Here is a 23,035-nt window from a genome sequence, read left to right as displayed (position 1 = left end):
TAGGATATTCTACATTCCAGGTCCTCCCTTTAGGATGCTAGAGCTGAATTTCTGAGATGGAACCAGAAATGCGCTTTTTTTTTTTTTTTTTTTTTTTTTTGGGACAGGTCTCTCTCTGTCTCCCAGGCTGGAGTGTAGTGGCACAGTCACAGCTCACAGCAACCTCAAGCTCCTGGGCTCAAGCAGTCCTCCCACCTTAGTGGGAGTATCCTGAGTGAACTCTCTGGGAGGTTCTTAAGGGGTAGCCCCTGGTTTATGGAGAGAGGTAGTGACCACCCTCAACCAAGACACAACCTGACTTAGCTTGAGTCCCAGGTCCTGTCAGGGTTGTTGCAAGGATCCCATAAAATGGCAAATGTACCCCAAATACAGCCAGCATAGTGCTCTGCATATAGAACCACCAGGAGGAAACAATGCTAAAGTACCACGCTCAGAGTTCTGCTCTCTACAGCAGTGAAAAACAAAAACACCGAATTATCCACCCTCAAGGTTATCCAGCTGTGAAAAGAATGGCAGGGCACAGTGGCTCATGCGTGTAATCCCAACACTTTGGGAGGCCGAGGTGGGAGGATTGATTGAGGCCAGGAGGACCAGCCTGGGCAACAGAGCAAGTCCTCCCACCCTGATATCTTGTTTTTTTTTTTTTTTTTGAGACGGAGTCTGGCTCTGTCGCCCAGGCTGGAGTGCAGTGGTGCAATCTTGGCTCACTGCAAGCTTCGCCCCCCAGGTTCATGCCATTCTCCTGCCTCAGCCTCCTGAGGAGGTGGGACTATAGGCACCCGCCACCACGCCCAGCTAATTTTTTGTATTTTTAGTAGAGAAGGGGTTTCACCGTGTTAGCCAGGATGGTCTCGATCTCCTGACCTCGTGATCTGCCTGCCTCGGCCTCCCAAAGTGCTGGGATTACAGGCGTGAGCCACCGCGCCCGGTCACCCCCACCCCGGTCTCTACAAAAAATTATAAAATTAGCCGGGCGTGGTGGCAGGCACCCATAGTCCCAGCTACTGGGGAGGCTGAGGTGGGAGGATCGCTTGAGCCCAGGGGTTGGAGGCTGCAGTGAGCCATGATCACACCACTGCACTCCAGCCTGTGCGACAGAGACCCTGTCTCTAAAGAAAAATTTAGAAAAGTGACAAGGGCAAATACACACAGTGAAAGAAGTGGGGGGCAGCTCATCTCCATAAATGGCCATCAGAGTCAGGTCTCCCGCAGCCACACCCTTGTGTGGTTCCTGCCCATGTCATTGGGGGCCTTGTAACTTACTCTAACCTAGAGAATGCAGCGCAAGCGAAGCTGGGCCAGTTCTCAGCCCAAGCCTTAGAGCCTGGCAGCTTCTGCTTTTGCTTGTGGGAACTGAGTCATTCAACAAACATATGGACCTTGCTGTAGATGCGTTGTGAAGAATGAGAGGCCCAAGACCTCGGGGAAAAGGCCAGCTGTCCGGGCATCTCCCAAACACCAGCCTCGCGTGCTCCAGTCCAGCCAAGCCTCCAGTGACTGCAGTGGGAGCTGTGGGCATGTAACCACCCAGCTGAGTCCTGTCAACCCCCAGCGTCGGGAGATAGGAACAGAAATAGCCTAAAAGCCACCAGAGTGGAGAGGGCTGGGATTGTTACAGTAGCAGATAACCTGCAGAGCAGGCTTCATTCTCTCAACCTATGAAATATGCAAGAGAGGACAAGTATTACCAGTAGTTCCTTTCCCGCTTTATTTTTTAGCTGCTTTTTGGGTTTTATACAATGAACATGTATTAATTGTAGAAGAAAACGATGTCATCCTTTATGATAAAATCCATTTCCATTTTAGCTTTTTTAAAAAAACAAAAAGCTGTTGTGGACAGATGAACATCCAAGTACTGGGCACACCTCCAGCCCTCCCTCTTCCACTGAAGGCCATTGCCTATTCCTAGAAAGTTCTTTCCCAGGTATGCAGCTTTCAGTTTCCACTTCAGAGGCCACAGTGTCTGGGGAACGGACTGCCCCCAATACTAAAGGGAGTCAAATCTCTTTAATTCCGCACTCCTCAGTACAACAAGAAGTCCCTTCTTTAGGCCACTGATGGAAACCTGGAACCCCCTTTTGATGGCAGCATGGCGTCCTAGGCCTTGACACAGCGGCTGGGGTTTGGGCTGTCCCAAACCGCACACCCCAACCCTGGTCTACCCACAGTTCTGGCTATGGGCTGTCTCTGCCACTGAACATCAGGGTTCGGTCAGAAGATGAAATCCCAAGGGGGACAGAGGTCAGTAGAGGAAGCTCAATGAGAAAGGTGCTGTTTGCTCAGCCAGAAAACAGCTGCCTGGCATTCGCCGCTGAACTATGAACCCGTGGGGGTGAACTACCCCCAGGAGGAATCAGGCCTGGGCGATGCAAGGGTGCCAACAGGAGGGGCGGGAGGAGCATGTACGGGTAAACTGAATACTGTGTCCAATTCCATAAATTAACAATTTAGACTTTCTTGAAGCTACTGATGAAAGCGTCACGCTTCAGTCTAACAGTTAAACATCATCTAATTCTGATTGGTAATGAAGAGGTAGCAGACACTCTAAAGTTGGCTCTCACAGGGAAGAAAGCACAGCATTTACAGAAGGGACCTTGAAAAATAAAATCAAGGACGGCTTTTATTGATGCGCCCACAGAGCCACCCACAATTTGGAAGGCATGATGATGTCAATACAGTAATCATCACCAAAGCAAATTAAAATACAAAGTTTATCTGCAACGGCTTTGCAGTGACATGATGCCTTCATAAATTAAGGAAACTGGCCACCCGTCACAGCGGCTCACTTCAGGGTCTTCACGAAATCTTCCCCCTTCTTGATGGAGGCCTTCAGCTCGGGGATGGCATCCGAGATCATCTTCTCCTCAAAAGAGGAGACTTTGCCGATGCCCAGGTTCTTCTCGATGCCCTTTTTCTGAGGGAGATGGGAACATGTTAAAATGAAGTTTCCAGGAAAGTGCTTGTTAGAGAAACCCCGACCTGTCGCTCCATCAGCCCTGCCGAGGAGTCTCTCTACACATGCGGGTTCTGGGTGCCTTGCTGGGGACGCCTTGCTGAGCAGGTGGGTGGGACTGAGCTGCGGTCAGGAGTGCGAGGCTCAGAGCCAGAGGGTGCCAGGCAGGGGTCCCAGCACTGTGATTGTCTAGGCAGGTACCCTGGACAATGACTGACCTTCCAAATGTGTTTCCTTAGCTATAAAACAAGCACCATCCACCTTCGTGAACACGAGGACAATGCGACAAGCACCTGGACGCCAGGAACTCAATCATCAGGAACACTTCACCGTATTCTCCCCAACAGAGCCTGTTTCTGGGTTCTTGTCTCTCCCCGCAGGTTGGTAAAGGACTGAAAACATTGTCACAGTCACCTGAATCAGGTGTCACTAAGTAGGTAAATGTCTGACATTGGCAAAAACAGGCATCTCTGCCACCGTCTCACCTGCAGAAACTGAGCACAGTTTGTGTGGCAACAGCCTCAGTCCTCACCTCAACTCAATTCCCTCCTACTGCTTCCCCTGGCTCAAGGGCCTATGAGAACCGGGTGCGTCTCACCTGCAGGCCCTGCCATTCCATACACCTGCACCGACATGGGGACAGAACTATACCATCGAGTGCCTGTCTCTCACCAAGGCCTGGGGCCATAGCTGAAGGATCTTTCTGTATCGGAGCATCTCTGAGAAAGGTCCTGGGGTGGCCCAGTGAGCCATATTACTTTCTGGCCACGTGATGAAGGCAACCACACATCTGCCTCATTTCTGCCCACAGGTGAGAAATGGAAACTCGGCTTGAGGGGGTATGAGTAAGACCTAAGGGTTTCTGTTTGCTGAAGACTCAGGCTGTCTGGATGGGGCACACTCTCGAAGAGGAATTGGGCCTGGCCGCCCCCCGCAGTCAGAACAAGATGAACAAGGAGCGACAGGGAGGTGTTCAGGCGGGGTAGGGAGGCCTCCCTGGGCTGCCTGGAGATGGAGTGTCTTATCAGTCAATACTCCTGCAGCTGCTGGGCACCCGCTGTCAAACTGCAGGGAAGGAGACCCACTTGCTGGGAGGTTCACCCTTCACAGTCTGTGATCCTCCCAGCTCTTTTTTCTCGGGTGTGCGTCCACCCTTGAAAACAACAGCACTCGCCAGGCAGGCACATGAGCTTACTGCATAAAGGGCCAGGGAGAGCTCCTGAGGCTTAAGCAAAGGGAACGCCCCCTTATTCCACAGTCAGAAGGACCCACGCCTGGATACGTACCCCAAGCAGCAGCGGTGTGGAGAAGTAGGTACATTCCGTTTCCTGTGACTTAACGAAGGAACATTCCACAACACCTTCCTTTCCATTCATTGCATCCACAAGGGAGAAGACAAAGCGGGCGCCGGCATACGCCATGGAGAGGGTGGCAGAGCCTAGGGGGGCACAGACAGGTCAGCCTGGCTGGTGCCACAAACGTGACGCCCAGGTGAGCCGGCCCCGCCAGCCAAGACACCTGCACACCTTCCAGCCTGACAGTGGAGAATTTCAGTCAGCACCCCGATTTCTTGTTACTTATACATGAATGGTGTAGAATTGACTCTGCCACCCTCAAAAATGACTCTCAACCCCACAAAGCAGGCCGAGCTGCCCTCTCACACAGGGATTTTCCACCAGGCAACTGCAAATCAACACTGAAAAGGATCGTCCATGCCCAGGGACAAGCAGCATTTCTCCCCAACCCTGAGCTCTCGCAGGGCCTCACTGGCACCCAGCCCCGGGGCTGCCTGAGACTCTACCTGCTCCGGCTTTAGCCTTGACCACCTCCGTGCCGGCCTCCTGGATCCGCCCAGTGAGTGCTGTCAGCTGGTCCTGGGGAAAGTCCACCTTGGGGGTGCACTGCAAGCCAAGCCATGGGATCAGTGAGTGGCTTCCGGCCCATGACCCCAGACCCACTGCCTCCCACCCCCACTATTCCCGACCTCTCCTCTCCCTCCCATCACCAGGGCATGGGAAAGGTTTTCTATAAAGAAGAAAAAGAAAACCTTTATAGAAAAATGACATGCTATTCTGGGCACACTGCCTATGGGGTAGCCCTGCTCCACAAGGAGCAGCAAAAAAATAATAATAAAAAGATAAAAAAAAAAAAGACGAAGTGAAATCAACTCTGTTGGGAAGTGTGGTGAGTCCCCTACTCATTTGTTTTTTGAGGCCAGGGTCTGGCTCTGTCGCCCAGGCTTCAGTGGTGCATCATAGCTCGCTGCAGCCTCAACCTCCCAGGCTCAAGCAATCCTCCCGCTTTGGCCTCCCAAATGCTGGGATTACAGGTATGAGCCACTGTGTCCAGCCCTGGACTCATTTTTGAAAAAAGCACCTCGCCCGCTCCGGCCTAACCAGTAACCCGGTGAGGTTCCCAACAGTGGTTCTCCTTGCGTGCTGGAGCTGGGCCCTGAGCAGCTTCCACCCACATTCGCTCCAGGACTGACACCGCCCTGCAGCAGAGGGGCGGGGCTGCCTACAACAGGAGCCCTTCCAAAACCTGGCACGTGGCCAGGCCTTCTCCAGTCTACCGGGATCACCTCAAAGCAGGGCCTGGTAAAGGGAATCCTGACCTCGAAGCCCCTCACAGGGTCATATGCGTGTACCTGAGAGATCAGGGGGATGATGGTCTTCCCAGCATGGCCACCAATGACAGGGACGTTGACTCGAGCTGGATCCAAACCCTGGTGACCAAAGTATGAAGCTGGATGAGTTAACAAGCTCTTTCACTGTAAAACATGTCACAGCTGCCCACAGCCCCAACACTGGAAAAGCCCCCCAGAACTCAGGGTGGAACAGAGCCAGCTAGGAGGAGGCCCTGTCCAGCCCCTGCTGCGCTTGGATCTCCTGCCACGGTGCCCCAAAAGGCTGAGCATGAGCGCCAGCAGGTGCCGTGAGGGCTTGCCGCCGTCTGGCGAGGCCATCGCAAGTCCTTCCTTCATAGTGAGCATTTGTGCCCACTGTGGATGGGCATGGGAGGATGCTGCCTCCTGTGGAGGCCCCCCCCGGGCCTGGCATCCTCTTTCCCAGAGCCGGCTCCACTCCCCATGCACAAGCCCAGACTCCTCCCTACACAGAACAATCCAAGTTCCCTTTTCTTCAGGCCCCACAGAACAAAATTCAAATCCATTCCAGGATACCCATGAGTTAGAAGTCTGCCACCTCAAACAGTGATTGGGACAGAAAGAACAAACTGACTCCTATGGCTCCAAACAGCACAGTTCAAGGCTGCCTCATTTCTTAAACTGGAGGTACCACACCCCCAAGAATCTGTGAACCAGGTTTTTGTTTTATTTTTTGAGACAGGGTCTCTATCCCCCAGGCTGGAGTGTAGTGGCACAATCTTGGATGGCTGCAACCTCTGCCTCCTGGACTCAATGATCCTCCCACCTCAGCCTCCCAAGTACCAAACACCTCCACACCCAATCTATGTTTTTTAAATGTTTTGTACAGATGGGGTGTTGCCATGTTGCCCAGGCTGGTCCTGAACTCCCGGGCTCAAGCCATCCTCCTGCGTTGGCTTCCCAAAGTGCTGGGATTCCAGGCATGCACCACTGCGCCCGGCTGAACCAAGTATTTCTTAAAACGGACAATAACCTGGTGGGAGTAATGGTAGCGAGGGAACAGCCACCTGCCCCGATGGCCATGGCCACTGAAGAGCCCAGTCCTAGGTTGGAAAATGAGCCTGGTCTGGGAGAGGGAGGATCAGCCTCACGCACGGGAAAAGTAGGATCAGCTTCATGGAGCCGGGAGCCAAAGATCCGAGAGGCTTAGCTTGGTGGTGTATAAGCACACACGTGCGGGCACTGCACGGTCACCAGGGACGTGGGGCTGAAGGGACACAGCCCTGCTTTCCAGAGGCTTGCCCTCAAATACAAGACTCCTAGAAATGTATGTTCCAATGGTGCATGCTAAGACGGGGGACAAGGCGACTTTGCAGCAAACGGGAACAAGGCATTGGCCTGGGAGGTCCTGGAGCCACGTTGAAAGGGAATATGGTGGGTGAGAGGATGAGGGAGGAACCAGCCATCGGAAGTTTAAGGATTGATATGCATTCTTGATATGATCCAGGAAATTTCCAGAATGTCAGGCAGCCAGGGGTAATGACAGTCCACTTCACTGTTGGAGGTGGGGGACGGGATCTCCCAAGGGCCAAGGTACCCTGTCCCCAACTCTAACAGTGAAGCTTCAAGGCTGAGATAGGACTGCCTAACAGGACTTTCTGTGAGGACAGAGGAGCCATATGTGGCCATGGAGCATCTTAAATGTGGTTTGTGTGGCAGAGGGATATAGTTTTAATGTTATTTAACCATAAATAGCCAAATGTAGCTAGTGGCAGCTATGGTGCAGGGCAGGACTAGGGCCTGGGGTGTGCCCAGCCCTGAGAGCCCACGAGAATGAACTCTGTTGCCTCCAGGACGCCAGGGGCTGCGCCTCTGGAGGTGGGAGGTGGGATCCTGCCTGTTGTGTCCACTTCCGTACTGCGGCAATCCCGGGGGCCTCTGGACATACACCTGCGCTCACCTGCTCACTCAAACTGTTTTTTTTTTTTTTTTAAAGAGACAGGGTCTTGCTCTGTCACGCAGGCTGGAGCGCAGTGGCGCAATCACAGCTCATTGCAGTCTTGAACTCCTGGGTTCAAGCAACCATCCCACCTCAGCCTCCCAAAGTGCTGGGATGACAGCCGTGAGCCACTGTGCCAGGCTTAAACTGTCTCTTCGATTCAAGTGTCTCTCCCATTCCATGGAACTCTAAGGCCTGGGGCCATGCCTTTTGAAACTCTGTGACCCCCACACCTGTAACAGAGTCCCACTACCAGGCCCTCGGGTACGTGCTGCCATGTCTGTTACAGTGGGGCATCTCTAACTCCTCAGAAGCAGATGTGCCTGTCACTCGGGAGTAAAACGGAGGCCAAGGGTGCTGCGGGTGCACTTCCTACCATGCCGCACGTATAACCTCCAATCTGCCATCAGAACAAAAAGGCCTGAAGCTCAAGAGAAATACTTTTTGGGGCCAAAGGAAGTGGTTCTGCTGGCTCCACAATGGAAGCAAGTCGAAAGCAGGCTGTGCAAAGCACTAAGGACTCCAGGCCCGGCACTGGCACCAAACCAAGCCGAGCTCAAGCCACACCCAGCAGCTCAGTCTCCGTCCAGCGGCCCTAGGGTCAGGCACCTGGCCAGGCCTGGACTCTCCAGGGTGAGCTACCACGGGCAACCCAAAAAAGTCAGTGCCAGGGACCAGGGCCAACAACAATTCTGATACCTCAGGACTTCTGGCACTTTCCTCAGTTCTTCATGTTTGCTAATTTTCCCACCCTTTATCTAGTGGCCAACAGGTAAATCCTCCCAGGACCAGTTTTCAGGGGCAAGGAGAAAGGGGAGGACTGGGGGAGCCCCGTCCAAGTCCAGCCACTGAGAAGCCCAAAGAAGGTGTGAACCCACAGTGCTCTTGGCGAGAAGGAAGACAGCGAGAGCCGGGAGACAGACACTGGCCAGAGTAGATGCCTGTTGGGCCGAGTGCCTGGAACCCACAGGAAACACAGGGGCTGCTTCCATCAAGAGGGCGAGCTCTAAAAACATTTAAAACCCCAAAGTGACACGTGACCTGGGCATGCCTTCATGTCTTCCACGCCCGTAAATGAGCACGGGTGGCGGGAGAAGTTCAGAAAGGTCACCTGAGCAACACCCACGCCGCCCTTACCTTCAGCTCTGCAACAAAGGTGTTGGCTCTGACGATGTCCAGGGTCGTCACGCCGAAGATTTTGTTGGGGTTGTACACTCCATGCTTCTTGAAAACTTCTGCTGTGATGGGGATGGTGGAATTAACCTAGGACATCCAACAGACAGGCATGGCTTGCCCTGGGTTCCGAGAGCAGGGCCAAGCCACAGCAGGAAAAGGGCTTTTTGTCAGACCTTCCCAAAGGTCTAACTAGTCCAAAGATGCCACATTAAACTGCCCTGTCTGATAACTCTGTACTGGCAAGCCACCTGCCAGAAAGGACAGGCCGCACCATGTGAACAAAGAAACCCTTTGCTGTAGAGGATGCTTCTTCCCTTGGTGGCCCTTCAGCTATCAACTGAAATGTGTGATGATGCCTCCATGGATCACCTTCTGCTCGGCCGGGACTCACAGCTGCAGGGCCACTCCTGATGGGACAGCAGTGCACAGCGGCTGTGTGCTCCAAGGAAGCAGGTCCACTGGCAGCTCAGTCCCTCTGTGCTATGACCCTGGGCAGGTCACCCTAACTCCCTGGGACCCGTTTTTTTCTTCTGTAAGTGGGGGAAACGACAACCTCATGAAGTCATAAATACTAAATGACTTCACACACGGCGAGTGCTGAACACGTCACCCGGGACGCCAGAAGATGACAGAATGGCCAGGTTTCTATTAGGCACTGGTTAGCTCCCCAACAAAGGGAATAGCAGCTCTCTATTTGTGACCCACCACCCTGAGGAGCTTCTGGGGAACGCAGGACCCTTAGAGGCCAGGAGCACGAGCTCTGCATGCCTGCTGGCATCCATGCCTCTCAGTGACATCATGGTCCCTGCCCCTTCACCCCAATTGATCCTCATCCTCAGACACCAGGACCCAGGCTCCGCCAGGAAGGAGCAGTGAGGTGGCTGCTGTTAAATGAGCACAAGGCCCTGCAGGTCAAGCTGGGGAACCATGGCCGCCCTCTCAGTGAGGACGCAGCACTCAACGTTTCCGAGAGTAAGCAGCTACCTGCAAAAACCAGTGAGTGGGGCCTGGGGTGGCTGTGTGTGTGTCCGCGACTGTGTGTGAATGAGGAAATGGGGACAACAGGGGACCAGGAATGGAAATCCTGAGTAGAATGCAGATAGTCCCACCTTATCCATGGTTTCACTTTCTGCTGTGTTAATTACCAGCAGTCAGTTGAGGTCTGAAATTATTACACGGAAGATTTCAGAAATAAAGAATTCATGGGTTTTAAACTGGCTGGGCGCAGTGGCTCATGCCTGTAATCCCAGCACTCTGGGAGAGTGAGGCGGGAGGATCACCTGAGGTTGGTTGTTTGAGACCAGCCTCACCAACATGGCGAAATCCTGTCTCTACTAAAAGTACAAAAATTAGCTGGGCATAGTGGCATGCACCTGTAATCCCAGCTACTCAGGAGGCTGAGGCAGAAGAATCGCTTGAACCTGGGAGGCAGAGGCTGCAGTAAGCCAAGGTCGCACCACTGCACACTGGCCTGGGCGACAGAGCCAAAAACAAACAAACAAAAAAACTGCATGCCATCCTGAGTAGCAGGATGAACTCTGGCTCCATCCCGCCCAGGACAGGGGTCAACCCTTTGCCCAGCATACCCATGCGTCTACACCACCTGCCTGAGTCACTTAGGAGCCATTTTGGTTATCAGATCAGCTGTTGAGGGATCATGATGCTTGTGTTCCAGTTGCCTTATTTTACTTTACAATGGCCCCAAAGCGCAAGAGTAGTGATGCTGGCAATTTGGAGAAACAGAAACCAGAGAAGCCATTAAGTACTTCCCTTAAGCGAGAAGGTGGAAGTTCCTGACTAAAGGGAAAGAAATAACTTTTATTATAGTATCTTGTTGTGATTGTTTTACTATGAGTTGTTGTTGTTAATCTCTTACTGTGCCTAGTTTATGCATTAACTTATCACAGGTGTGCATGCCTAGGAAAACACATGGTATATACAGGGTTCAGTATACACATGGTATATACAGGGTTCAGGGTTCAGGCACCTACTGGGCTCTTGGAACATACTTTTCCGGCTAAGTAGGAGCTACTGTGTCAAAAAGGGAATCAAGAGACCACCACAATCACGGCTGAAAGGAGCCTTGAGAATGGACTTCTCTTCAGGTGGGGAAACTAAAGCAGAGAGAGACGTGGTCTGCCCACAGCACAAGGCTGGCTGTGACAACCCTCATTCAGTTCATGCTGGAAGGAGTCCTTAGGAAGTGCACGGACGGGCCTCTGCTTAGTGCACCCGACCTCTCCATTTCAGCCCCTTCATCTGTGTATCCCCCCATCCCCCCAGCACATCAGCAGCCTTTGCTGCAAACCGTGAGCTTTTCACGCACTGTCAGCACCTAAACACCTGCCATAGCTGCAAGAGCCGGGTGCTGCCACACTCACCGGATTGGCAATGACGCAGATCATGGCTTCCGGGCAGTGCTGGGCACAGGCAGCGGTCAGGGTGGCCACAATCGTGGCATTGGTGTTGAACAGGTCGTCCCGGGTCATGCCTGGAAATGATCCAATATGAGATGTTAACAGAGAACACCACAAATTTCCAGACAGGCAGCATGTGCTGAGCGCCAGCTGTTACAGGAAATTTAGCCACTCAAGGTCCCCGTTTCAAGTCAGTCCCTCTTGCAGGGTAAATGATCCAGCATGATGAGTGCCAGAAGCGAGGTCTGCATGGGTGGAGCAGGGGAGGACAACATCTGAGAAGGACCGTCGAGGTTTATTAAGAACCCCCAAGGTAGAGTGGGACTGAGAAGAGGGAAGGGCGTCCGTGCACAGAGGCACAGGGGAACGGCAAGACGACTTTGATCCCAGGCCAACAAAGAGATGTGACCTTTACCCCACAGGAAAGGGGAGCTGGTGACATTTTTCCTACAACAAAGCAACCAGATTAAATCCATTTTTAATAGGAAATGGATTTAATCCCCACATCTTCACGTGGGGAGGTACCAGACAAGGCTTTCAAACACAAACCTGGCTTTCTGGGGACTCCAGCCGGAATAACTACCACATCACAACCTTTCAGGCAGTCAGGCAGCTGTTCAGGTCCGAGGTAGCCTAGAACAAACACCCCACAAGAGAAATGTCACCGTTTCTGATTCAGAGAGGCCTGGAAAGTTCAGCCCTGGCCTTAAGGCCAACTAATGGCCTCGAGAAAGGCTAGAAGCCCTGCCTGTAACGTGACTTCCTTCTGTTGACGACTACTGCCCTGCGAGCTGACAATTCCCGTGGCAGGAACCCTCCCCTTCTACCCTGCTTTCCCCAGCCTCTCCTTGCCCAGGCCCCAGCTAGAATGGGTCAGCCCTCCAGGTTTCCACAAAAGCGAACTGAGCCACTGCTTGTCTTCATCCTACTCGTGAGCATTGTAAGTCACACTTGGCCTCCAGTTAGAATGAGAGGAGCTGCTCATTCCCCATCACCACAATCCTGATGAAAACTCCTTTTTTTTTTTTTTGAGAGGGAGTCTTGCTCTGTCACCCAGGCTGGAGTGCAGTGGTGTGATCTTGGCTCACTGCAACCTCCACCTCCCGGCTTCATGTGATTCTCCTGTTTCAGCCTCCTCAGTAGCTGGGATTACAGGCATGGTCCACCACATTTGGCTAATTTTTGTATTTTTAGTAGAGAAGGGGTTTCACCAGGTTGGCAAGGCTGGTTTTGAACTCTTGAACTCAAGTGATCCACCCACCTTGGCCTCCCAAAGTACTGGGATTACAGGAGTGACCCACTGTGCCAGCCCAAACTCCTTGATCAGAAGGCACTGAAGGCCAGGAAAGAAAACGTCCTGTGCTGAAAGACTCTAAATATTACTATTTCGTTTACTCCTATCATCTGAAGGAAAAAGTATGTTTTCAAAGATTTCAGGGAAATTTGCTACAATATCCAAAATCTGCTTCGATCTTGACTTTTTCCTTAATGCAGGAGCCTTCTTAACCCGAATATACAGCCCAAAAGAAAATGGGCAACCCATTCAGAGAACTCTGGAAGGTGCACGAACATAAAATTTGCCAGGCAGCCTCCCCAGCTGTTCACACCAACTTAAGACTCATGTAAACACCATCAGACACGGTATCGCATACGCTGTCAGAGGGGAAAGAAATCAGTAGAATCTTTCTGGACAGCAATTTGGAACTTTATAGTAAAAGCTTTGAAATATTCATACCTACTAATTCTGTGTTTAGAACTCTAAGACTTCAACAAGATGTAAAGATAAAGATACGTACTGCAACTTACATTAATATATTTATATTTACAGAAGCAAACAGGAAACAGCCAATGGTCAACAGCAGAGCTATCATAAATGATAAATTACAGCTTTAAGAATAATTTTATCAAGAATTCGGGCTGGGCGCAGTTGCTCATGCCTGTAATCCCAGCACTTTGGGAGGCCGAGGTAGGTGGATCATTTGAGGTCAGGAGTTCTAGACCAGCCTGGCCAACATGGTGAAACCCCATCTCTACTAAAAACACAAAAATTAGCTGGGCATGGTGTTGCACACCTGTGGTCCCAGCTACTCGGGAGGTTGAGGCAGGAGAATCACTTGAACCCAAGATGGGGAGGTTGCAGTAAGCCAAGATTGTGCCACTGTATTCCATCTGGGACACAGAGGAAGACATGGTCTCAAAAAAAAAAAAAAAATTTGGTGACATGCAAAAATGTTGATACATTGTGAAGGTTAAATAAGCAGCATATATAAATATGCATATTTATGAAATTTTTTTTTTTTTTTTTGGAAACAGTGTCTCACTATCTCACCTAGGCTGAAGTGCAGTGGTGTAATCAGGGCTCACTGTAGCCTCAACCTCCTGAGCTCAAGTAATCCTCCCACCTCAGCCTCCCAAGTAGCTGGGACCACAGGTGTGCACTATCACGCCCAGCTAATTTTTGGACTTTTTGTTGAGATAGGGGTCTCGCCATGTTGCCTGGGCTGGTCTTGAACTCCTGGACTCAAGCAATCCTCCTGACTTGGCCTCCCAAAGTGCTGGGATTACAGGTATAAGCCACTGCACTAAGTCCAGTGAATCATTTTCCAGACAACATTTACTGAATATCCGACACTGCCTTCCACAGACGGGGAGGTTTCCCAAAGAGGCCGTGCTTTTTGAGAAGCTGGCAAGATAACCCTGGGGTGGAGGGAAGGTGGCCCGCAGCTGAGACCACCACCTTACTGTCCCCAAATCCTCACCAGAGGTTGCTGACACTTCCCTCTTCCCCATCCTCATACTACTTTTCAAATTAGAAAAAGTAGAAAATGGGATGATTAGGCTACCTCACATTTCTAAAAGACACCGCTGTTTCAATTTTTATAGACGCCAAGTCTAAAAGGGTGTAATCACTTGTAAAATTTAAATTTAAAACAGAGAAACCCCCGTCTCTAAACATTTAGTTTCATCTAAGAATCTTACTCAAAACTCGAATCCTGGCCTACTGGGGACAGGAAGCAAGTCTCCAGGGTCAGCGCGCCCAGTACCTTTCACAGCGGCTTTGGTCTCGATGTGGCTCAGATCTGCGGCCACTCCGGGTGTGTGCGCGATATCATAGAGGGTCAGGCGGCTCACCAAGGGGCTGTTCTTCAGGAGAAGTGAAAGTGGCTGCCCGATGCCTCCAGAGGCCCCTAGCACAGCTACTTTAGCATTGTTCTAAAAAGAGGCACAGAGAAAGGACTCTTAGGAGGAAATGAGCATGAAAAGGATTCACATGGTATCCTATAATGTTGCACTGGGCCTCTTTTTACTGCAGTTGCCAAAGCAAGATACAATCATTGTATTTGTAACAGTCTCATTCTGGAAGAATTCAGGACCTTCATTCCAAAGGTCCACTTTCAAATGGGGAGAATTTATGTCTGTAGAGTCTGTGATACTCAGGGTACTTCAAAACCCTCCTGAAAGATGAAGAACAAGCTGGACTCCATCAGGCAGCTGGACTGGTAACAGCAGCCTTCCCTTCAACCTGCAGCTTTATAAACTATAAACACACACTGAGTGCCTAGCAACAGGCCCTCCCGGTAACTGAGGTTGCAGGAAGATCCCTGCTGGCTCTGTAGGAGACAGGTAATGAGATGCATTAGGAGCAGGGAGAACACTGTCACAGAAGCCCCTTGTGCAAGAGGGCAGATGGGGTTGCGGCAATCAACTCCCTGCAGGGGTGGGGAATCAGAGAAGATTCATCCAGGCAGCAAACTTGTGGCTGGAGCCTCAGGCAGGACAAGGAGCTGCCTAACAAGAGGTGGAAGGGGTTACGTACGTTGCGAAAGACTCCAACCCTCCTGGTGAGTCAGATCTGTCATCTCGGGCTCCAGTATCTCACACTGGTTCTCCAGCCTAGGTGTGCATCAGAGCCACCTGCTGAGCTAATGAAGCCCACTCAGGACTAGGCTCCTGGAAGCGGGATGGGGCTTAGGCCTTGGCATTTTTGCCATTTTCCCCAGATGATTTTGATACCAAACAGTTTGAGAATCACTGTTTCATACCAGGCTAATCAGAAGAACAGGCAGCAAAGTAGCAGCTGGCCCTGGGCATTTCAGCTTGGAACAGTTAGGAAAGTGATGGGGTGAAAGTGACCCGGCCCCGCATCCAGCAATCACTCCCGTTATTCGAAGGCACTCTTCCCCTCTAGGTCTCACTCAAGGTCTGACCAAAATTACAGCCATACCCAGGGAGCTTGTTTCTGATCTAAACTCACAAATGAGAAGCACAGCCGATCCCTGGCAGGCAGGCAGGCAGGCAGCTACCAGTGAGGGAAGAGGCAAACAAAGTGGCAGACACGGGAACTCTCGGCACCGTGTGTGGTCATCTGGGGCCTGACAGCATCACTGCACAGTCTTCTACAGTAGCTGAGGCCAGCTAATAACAGGCTTTGGTTATCAGAAACCAAAACCCAACAAACCAAAATCCGAATCAAGACGCTTACCCAGTGGGTTTCTGCTCAGGAAATTAAACTGTGGAAGCATATACAACCAACATTTGAATTCAAACAGGTTTTTGAGTTTCAAGTTGGTGCTTTAAAGGTGAACCCCTGGCTGCCTGGAAACTTGAACCTGTCAGACCCGCTCAGAACCTGAGGTCGGGCAGGCTCAGCCTCACCCACTTCTGGATCTTCAGCTCTCACTCCCACATCTTGTGTGAGTCTCAGGGACTCCCAAATCCCAGCTCTGCATTCCCAGTTCTGTTAGGCGTTCCATGGGTTCCACAAACTCAACTGTCCATTTATCCTGCCCCCCTCCCTCCATCCCTGGTCCCAAATGGCACTTGTGTTCACTAAATGTAAACTTCTAGAACCATCTTCTGCCACCTCCTTCTTATCAGAGACATCAAGTCAGGACATGAAGAACTTGGCAGCTCAACCACCCTCCCAACCCGCTCCTCCTCTTCATTCTATTCCGTTATCTAACTTAGGTACTCAGCAACACCTCCAAAGCATGCTTTCCCAAAATCAAAGTCTTAATCATTTCACTCTCGTGCTCAGGCTGGCATGGTGGTATGCACCTGTAGTCCCAGCTACTCAGAAGGCTGAGGTGGGAGGATCACTTGAGCCCAGGAGTTGAGGCTGCCGTGAGCCATGATGGCGCCATTGCATTCCAGCCTGGGAAACAGAGCAAGATTCCATCTCTTTAAAAAAATATCTTCTGGGCTGGGCGTGGTGGCTCACACCTGTAATCCCAGCACTCTGAGAGGCCGAGGTGGATCACCTTAAGTCAGGACTTTGAGACCAGCTTGGCCAACATGGCAAAACCCCATCTCTACTAATAATAAAAAAAATTAGCCAGACATGGTGGCGCGCACCGGTAATCCTAGCTACTCAGAAGGCTGAGACAGGAGAATCGCTTGAACCCAGGAGGAGATCACACCACTGCACTCCAGCCTGGGTGACAGACCAACAGTCTATCTCAAAAAAAAAAAAAAAAAAATCTTCCAAAGCTTTCATGCCTCCATCACTCAGCCAGGGCAGTGGTTCCACAGGGGAGTGGCCAAGACAATCCCACCAGGGTGGAGGATGAAACTGCTGCAATGAGTGTATCTTTTTTTTTTTTTTTTTTTTTGAGATAGGGTCTCCCTCTCTCACCCAGGCTGGAGTGCAGTGGTGCGATCTTGGCTCACTGCAACCTCTGCATTTTCGGTTCAAGCCATCCTCCCCACCTTAGCTGTAGCTGGGACTACAGGTACACACCACTCATTTTGTAGAAATGAGGTTTTGCCACACTGCCCAGGCTGGTCTCAAACTTCTGAGCTCAAGTGCTGGGATTATAGGTGTAAGCTACCATGCCCAGACTGTCTCTATCTTTATCTAACAAAGAATTAATCTCTACCAAGAAATGGACCGACCTGTGCCCTCGCTAGGGTGCTTAAATGGATGGGTCCCATGTGTACATAAGGTGAACACAACATGGGGGAGGGAGGGGAAGAAGACTGCCTCACTGGTTTCTTTGCTTTCACTTTGTCAAGGTGATGTCACTGTTTGTATATTACAGGATGTCACCAACTTAATTTTTACAAAACCACAATCCTTAAGTAGTATAATCTTTACATGCTTTGCAATGAGATGAAAATCTTTGGTGGCCCGGAGGTTAGATCATGATCTCCTTGTCAAAGAGCTGTCTTCCAGACCCGCTGACCTTTGCTGGGTGGCAGAGTGGCTATCAACAGCACACTGCTTGGCAACTGTGTTGAAAACCGACATATGTTAACACTGCCTTCATTTATAAGTTTTAACACTTTATAACGTGTTATGGTTTGTTTTAAAATTTCTACTTGAGTTTATATTGTAATGTATATATTAGTACATATACCTATAAGTAAATACATTGGGGCTATGTGCTTCCTACGCTTTTACTGTTAAAGATACAGGATCCAGCTAGGCGTGGTGGCTCACGCGTTTAATCCTAGCACTTTGGGAGGCTGAGATGGGCGCATCACCTGAGGTCGGGAGTTTGAGACCAGCCTGACCAACATGGAGAAACCCTGTCTCTACTAAAAATACAAAATTAGCCAGGCATGGTGGCGCATGCCTGTAATCCCAGCTACTCGGAAGGCTGAGGCAGGAGAATGGCTTGAACCTGGGAGGCGGAGGTTGCGGTGAGCTGAGATCGCACCATTGCACTCCAGCCTGGGCAACAAGAGCGGAACTCCGTCTCAAAAAAAAAAAAAAAAAAAATCCAAAGTCTGGAGACCACTGCACCATGGGCTCAAGCCCATCTTTCTTTCTGCTTTCATCAGCTGCCTTCTCAACAATGTCGCTTGTATGCCCAACAGGCATTTTAAATTGAACATATGAAAAACTGAGATCCTGGCCGGGTGTGGTGGCTCACGTCTATAATCCCAGTACCTTGGGAGGCCAAGACAGGTGGATCACCTGAGGTCAGGAGTTTGAGACCAGCCTGGCCAACATGGCGAAACCCCATCTCTACTGAAAATACAAAAAAAAATTAGTTGGGCGTGGTGGCAGCACCTGTAATCCCAGCTACTCAGGAGGCTGAGGTGAGAGAACCACTTGAACCCAGGAGGCGGAGGCTGCAGTGAGCCGAGATCACGCCACTGTACTCCAGCCTGGGCAACAGAGCGAGACTCTCAGTAAATAAATAAAAACTGAACTCCTGATATCTTCTCCCTGGTTAAACCCACTCTCTTCTATAAGTCTTGCCTATTTCAGCCCAACTCCAAGGCCCAAAACCTTGGTGTCATCCCCGACCCCTTATCTAATCACACATCAGCAAATCCTTCTGGTACCATCAATGAATACCCAGAATTCAATCATTTCTTACCACCTGCACCTAGATAACCACAATGAACTCCTAACCTACCTTTCTCTCACTCCTAAGACCATCTTGTTAAAATGGAAGGAAGAGCAAGTCATTACGCAGCTGAAAACCCTCAACTGGCCGCCCCATTTCTGAGAAAATACCAAAGTTTTACAAGGCCTGTTCTGTTACCTCCACTGCCTTCTCTGGAACTACCCTAGCCTCATTTTCTCAAACCTTCAAGGCATGCCCCATGCTTCTCCAAGGGCTCTCAGCTACATCCTGAGACATATCCCTTACCTGCAATACTCTTTCCATATGATGTGATCTCTGCTTCCTTCAGACTTTACTCAAACATCTCACTCTGCGTGAGGCCTACCCTGGCTGATGTAAAACTGCTACCCTCGGCTGGGAGTGGTGGCTCACGCCTGTAATCCCAGCACTTTGGGAGGCCAAGGAGGGTGGATCACTTAAGGCCAGGAGTTTGAGACCAGCCTGGCCAACATGGTGAAACCCCATCTCTACTAAAACTACAAAAATTACCCAGCTGTCGTAGCCCTTGCCTGTGATTCCCACCTACTCGGGAGGATGAGGCAGGAGGATAGCTTGAGCCCAAGAGTTGGTTGCAGTGAGCCAAGATGGCGCCACTGCACTCCATCCTGGGCAACAGAGTGGGACTCTGTCAGGTCCATCCTGGCCAACATGGTGAAACCCCATCTCTACTAAAAACACAAAAATTAGCTGGGCACGGTGGTGCGCGCCTGTAGTCCCAGCTATTCGGGAGGCTGAGGCAGGAGAATCGCTCCAACCTGGGAGGTGGAGGCTGCAGTGAACCGAGATCACGCCACTGCACTCCAGCCTGTCGACAGGGCGAGGCACTGCATCAAAAAAAGTAAATAAAATTGGTACCCTCTTCCCTAACACAAGCACCCTACAATCCCCATTTTTCTTGCATGTTCATCACTATTTTAAGATACTTTATAATGAGTGGGGCAATAAGTAAAATATCTAGTAATTTCCGTGAGAGCAGGGACTTCTGTGTTTTGTTCACCGCTGTATTTCCAGTACCTAGCTCAATAAATATGTCGGATATCTGAAGGTCCTACCAAAACTCAACCTCTCCCTGGACACCCCTGTCCTCTCTTTGGTTGGCTGCCCCTCCCCCACACCTCATCCCTCCTGTCCTGTTTACTCATTCCCTAAGACCTTCATCGCCTCCACCTGTCCTAAGTTTACTCATTCCCTAAGACCTTCATCGCTTCCACCTGTCCTAAGTTTACTCATTCCTGTCCCATATCAAGTGTCACTTCTCACTTATCTTGGTATCCCCTGCAGCACCCAGCATAGTTGTTGGCAAGCACAGGTACTTAATGTACTTATCTGTATACAGCTGGGCCCCCACTTCACCGCAGCGCAAAAGCATTTGGTACATTCAACTTACAATGGGGTTGCCTGTGGGAACCCATTGCAAGTTGAAAATACACAAAGTTAAACTCGCCTTTTGACTTAGGATATTACCAACTTGCGATGGGTATGGGAAGTAGCCATCAATCCAGGAGCATTTGTATTTATTTTTCAAATGAACTGGATGTACAGGAAACTCGAGAACTTCGATGATAAATTTGGATTCCCCTTTAAAATTACCTCCCTCTTGGGCGTCGTAATTAAAAGGCAATGCGAGCACCTCCTGGGTTCTCAAAATTAGGTTTAATTAGATTCACCTGGTAAAAATGCGGACCCCCCCCCCCCCCCCCGCAGTCTTAAGCTTCTTCAATGAACCCAGACGTCTGTTTTTTATTAGCTTTCTGGTGATTCTGACACACTGCAGAGTTTAAGAACCACCATTCTAGAAGATGGCTAAAAATAGCCTAGGCTCCTAGGCTTAAGTGGTCGCGGGCCAAGTCAAGCACTGTTAAGACACCTGGCGGCAGGCTCAGTCCGCCCACAGCAGGAGAGATCCTCCAAAAAGGTTAAGAGGAAGCCGTCTTCAGGTCAGAAGCGCTGAATTCTAATCCTCTGGCCAAATGACTGTAACCCTGGCCCAGTTCTCTAGCCTCGGTTTGTCCATACTATGGAATTAGGAAGTATACGATTTCTTTTATTCACGCACAACTCACACGGATGCTGCAAGGAGATTAGCTACGTCAAAGCAATGGAACGCTGCAGAAAAAAACGTAAGTTTACTTTCAGATGCAGAGCCCTGGTTTCCCAACCTTGAAGGCGTGCAAGCCAAGAGCAGGTCCTCTGGGAAATCTGGGAGACCTGGGGGAACCCTGACAAATGGACCGGCCCTGGAGCGGGACTACCTCGCCCCCTTTTCCCCGGCTTTCTCCCCCGCACCTCCAGGCCAGTGTCAGGGCCTGCCCCGGGCGCCACAGTCTCCAGCCAGTGCCGGGCATCCCTGCGGTCCAGGCTGGCCTGGAGAGGGTCAGAGCTGCCCGCGAACCGGGGACGCACGTGGCCCGGGCCGGGGGGCCTCCGCCTGCAGGCCGCCCCTCGTCTGGCCTACCTGGGCCGAGGTGCTGAAGCTGCGGCGGAGAGCAGCGCTGGCAGGCCGGGCGAGGGCGGAGAGCATGGCTGGAGCGGGAGGGGCACCGACTGGCAGGCACAGGAGCTGGTGACGGGGAAGTGACTCCAACGACCTCCACACTGCCCAGCGCCTGCTCTCTGGGGCCTCGCGAGAGTGACCGGACTTCCGGTCGCGCTCGCCTCCGGGATCTCGTGAGATCACGGCCACTTCCGGGAGTCGGAAAGGAAAGCTGTGGGACCATCCTGGCAACCCCGGTGTTTGGCTGGGTTCTAGCGTAGCCGTCTGTGTGGCCGGTGGGGGACCTGCGGTCGGAGTGGGAGGGCCAGTCTGCACCCAAGAGGTGGAAGAGGACGGGCTTTAGGCTGGAAGCGCCTTAGAGGAGCCATTTTTCCAGGTGGGGCCCCAGGCAGAGGCTCCGACAGGGAGCCTGGCCATAGTCGCGCAGCCGGGGAGGTGGAGCGCGTCCCAGACCCGAGCCCCCGACCTCAGCCAAACCCATTCCTTCTGCCCTTGGAGGCCAGAGGGGACTCTGAGCTCCGGAAAGGTAGGGTCAGGGAGGCTGAGAGTCCTTAGGCGGGGTGGGAGGAAGGGGCCATCTCCTCAGATCCGGGCCGTCGTTTCCCAAGTTGCAGAGACCCTTGGGTTCAGGTTTAGTGACACCACTGCTGATAATGGCGACCTCCAGCCCTGCAAGCTTTAGAGGACCACTATTCTGTGTTCCAGATGAGCAAATAGGTTGTAGGGACAACAACTTCCGTGGTCATACAGTTCCTGTCTTCTCTCGCCTGCCCGGCAGTGCTCTGACGGTCCCACTGTTTCTGCTTTACGAATAAAGACACTGTGGCTGAGGCCAAGTGGATTTGTAGAGTTTACGCAGACAGAAAGTCGAGTAGAATTCCTTGCTCACAATGAGTTTATTACTTAAATGTATGAATTTATTTATTTTTTTGAGACGGAGTCTCTCTAGCCCAGGCTGGAGTGCAGTGGCGCGATCTTGGCTCACTGCAACCTCTGCCTGTCAGGTTCAAGTGGTTCTCCTGCCTCATTCTCCTGAGTAGCTGGGATTAGCGCACCACTACACCTGGCTAATTTTTTGTATTTTTTTTTTAGTAGAGACGGGGTTTCACCACGTTGGTCAGGCTGGTCTCGAACTCCTGACCTCGTGATCCACCCGCCTCGGCCTCCCAAAGTGCTGAGATTACAGGCGTGAGCCACCGCGCCCGGCCTGATACATATTTTTAAAATTAAACAACACCCCCAGGCAAGGTGGCTCATGCCTGTAATCCCAGCACTCTGGGAGGCTGAGGCGGGCCGATCACTTGAGGCCAGGAGTTCATGACCAGCCTGGCTAACATGGTGAAACCCCATCTCTACTAAAAATACAAAAATTAGCCCAGCGTGGTGGTGTACACCTGTAGCCCCAACTACTCCGGAGGCTGAGGCAGGAGAATCGCTTGAACCCGGGAGGTGGAGGGAGGTTGCAGTGAGCCGAGATAACCCCACTGTACTCCAGCTTGGGCGACGGAGAAAGACTCTGTCTCAAAAAAAAAAAAAAAAAAAGCCGGGTGTGGTGGCTTATGCCTGTAATCCCAGCACTTTGGGAGGTCAAGGCGGGCAGATCACCTGAGGTCAGGAGTTTGAGACCAGACTGGCTAATGTGGCGAAACCCCATCTCTACTAAATATACAAAAATTGGCTGGGCATGGTGGCGTGTGCCTGTAGTCCCAGCTACTCAGGAGGCTGAGGCAGGAGAATCCCTTGAACCCAGGAGGTGGAGGTTGCTGTGAGCCAAGATTGTGCCATTGTACTCCATCCTGGGTGATAAGAGCTAAACTCCGGCTCAAAAGCGCGCGCGCGCGCGCGCGCACACACACACACACACACACACACACACACACACACACACACACACACACACACACACACACACAGCAGATAAGCTGAGACATGCTGGAAGAGTAGGTGTTTCTCAATGGAACATTCAACTCCAGAGGAGGGAAAGATCCCTTGCCTTGGAATCAGAATTCTCAAAGGAGGGGCACTAGGGC

At 51.4% G+C, this 23,035-nt stretch overlaps 2 protein-coding genes across 16 annotated transcripts in view, besides 8 other annotated features; one reads left to right on the top strand and one right to left on the bottom strand.

Annotated features, from left to right (window-relative positions):
* On the bottom strand, positions 1,685-21,087 carry MDH2 (malate dehydrogenase 2). 4 transcript variants are annotated; one of them, NM_005918.4, is made up of 9 exons: positions 20,967-21,087; positions 14,195-14,363; positions 11,700-11,783; positions 11,115-11,224; positions 8,695-8,820; positions 5,601-5,678; positions 4,755-4,854; positions 4,240-4,391; positions 1,685-2,914 (listed from the first exon to the last, which is right to left on the bottom strand). In NM_005918.4, the coding sequence occupies exons 1-9, from the start codon at positions 21,030-21,032 to the stop codon at positions 2,783-2,785; spliced, it is 1,017 nt and encodes a 338-aa protein (NP_005909.2). In that variant the 5' UTR covers positions 21,033-21,087; the 3' UTR covers positions 1,685-2,782. The 4 variants fall into 4 exon arrangements, 3 of the variants coding, with proteins under 3 accessions (NP_005909.2, NP_001269332.1, NP_001269333.1); NM_001282403.2 differs by lacking the exon at positions 8,695-8,820; NM_001282404.2 differs by lacking the exon at positions 14,195-14,363.
* Positions 3,745-3,794: an enhancer, noted in NCBI's record as "active region_26192". NCBI's record gives its function as "activates an Ori minimal core promoter by ATAC-STARR-seq in GM12878 lymphoblastoid cells {active_cell/tissue: GM12878}" and the evidence as "EXISTENCE:reporter gene assay evidence [ECO:0000049][PMID:35858748]".
* Positions 3,825-3,894: an enhancer, noted in NCBI's record as "active region_26191". NCBI's record gives its function as "activates an Ori minimal core promoter by ATAC-STARR-seq in GM12878 lymphoblastoid cells {active_cell/tissue: GM12878}" and the evidence as "EXISTENCE:reporter gene assay evidence [ECO:0000049][PMID:35858748]".
* Positions 20,156-20,937: an enhancer, noted in NCBI's record as "NANOG-H3K27ac-H3K4me1 hESC enhancer chr7:75677574-75678355 (GRCh37/hg19 assembly coordinates)". NCBI's record gives its function as "activates a minimal SCP1, AML or CMV promoter by ChIP-STARR-seq in naive H9 embryonic stem cells {active_cell/tissue: H9 hESC(naive)}" and the evidence as "EXISTENCE:reporter gene assay evidence [ECO:0000049][PMID:30033119]".
* Positions 20,156-20,962: a biological region, named in NCBI's record as "NANOG-H3K27ac-H3K4me1 hESC enhancer GRCh37_chr7:75677574-75678355".
* Positions 20,803-20,962: a silencer, noted in NCBI's record as "silent region_18305". NCBI's record gives its function as "represses an Ori minimal core promoter by ATAC-STARR-seq in GM12878 lymphoblastoid cells {active_cell/tissue: GM12878}" and the evidence as "EXISTENCE:reporter gene assay evidence [ECO:0000049][PMID:35858748]".
* Positions 20,938-21,720: an enhancer, noted in NCBI's record as "NANOG-H3K27ac-H3K4me1 hESC enhancer chr7:75676791-75677573 (GRCh37/hg19 assembly coordinates)". NCBI's record gives its function as "activates a minimal SCP1, AML or CMV promoter by ChIP-STARR-seq in naive H9 embryonic stem cells {active_cell/tissue: H9 hESC(naive)}" and the evidence as "EXISTENCE:reporter gene assay evidence [ECO:0000049][PMID:30033119]".
* The window catches only part of STYXL1 (serine/threonine/tyrosine interacting like 1), a 51,664-nt gene continuing 49,821 nt past the window's right edge, over positions 21,193-23,035 (top strand). For 10 of the 12 annotated variants that reach the window (NR_134486.2, XM_011516293.4, XM_047420470.1 and 7 more), the window contains exon 1: positions 21,193-21,381. The gene's annotated coding sequence lies outside the window, so the exon portion shown is untranslated. Of the gene's footprint in view, positions 21,532-23,035 lie in introns of all 12 variants that reach the window. The other 2 variants (NM_016086.3, NM_001317785.2) reach the window with 1 other exon arrangement.
* Positions 21,213-21,292: an enhancer, noted in NCBI's record as "active region_26190". NCBI's record gives its function as "activates an Ori minimal core promoter by ATAC-STARR-seq in GM12878 lymphoblastoid cells {active_cell/tissue: GM12878}" and the evidence as "EXISTENCE:reporter gene assay evidence [ECO:0000049][PMID:35858748]".
* Positions 21,403-21,492: an enhancer, noted in NCBI's record as "active region_26189". NCBI's record gives its function as "activates an Ori minimal core promoter by ATAC-STARR-seq in GM12878 lymphoblastoid cells {active_cell/tissue: GM12878}" and the evidence as "EXISTENCE:reporter gene assay evidence [ECO:0000049][PMID:35858748]".

The sequence above is a fragment of the Homo sapiens genome, chromosome 7 (genome assembly GCF_000001405.40).
Source record: "Homo sapiens chromosome 7, GRCh38.p14 Primary Assembly".
Classification (NCBI taxonomy): Eukaryota; Metazoa; Chordata; class Mammalia; order Primates; family Hominidae; genus Homo; species Homo sapiens.
Note: the sequence above shows the minus strand (reverse complement) of the source record. Positions and strands in the feature narration are given on the sequence as shown.

Bases quoted from the DNA above. Each gene is read 5' to 3' on its own strand.
- MDH2 (NM_005918.4), bottom strand. From the start codon at position 21,032: ATGCTCTCCGCCCTCGCCCGGCCTGCCAGCGCTGCTCTCCGCCGCAGC. The intron at 5,679-8,694 runs GTAAGGGCGGCG...TTTGGTCACCAG, and splicing joins CCTTTGTTGCAGAGCTGAAG to GGTTTGGATCCAGCTCGAGT. The intron at 4,392-4,754 runs GTAGAGTCTCAG...GTGCCCCCCTAG, and splicing joins CAAGGCTAAAGCCGGAGCAG to GCTCTGCCACCCTCTCCATG.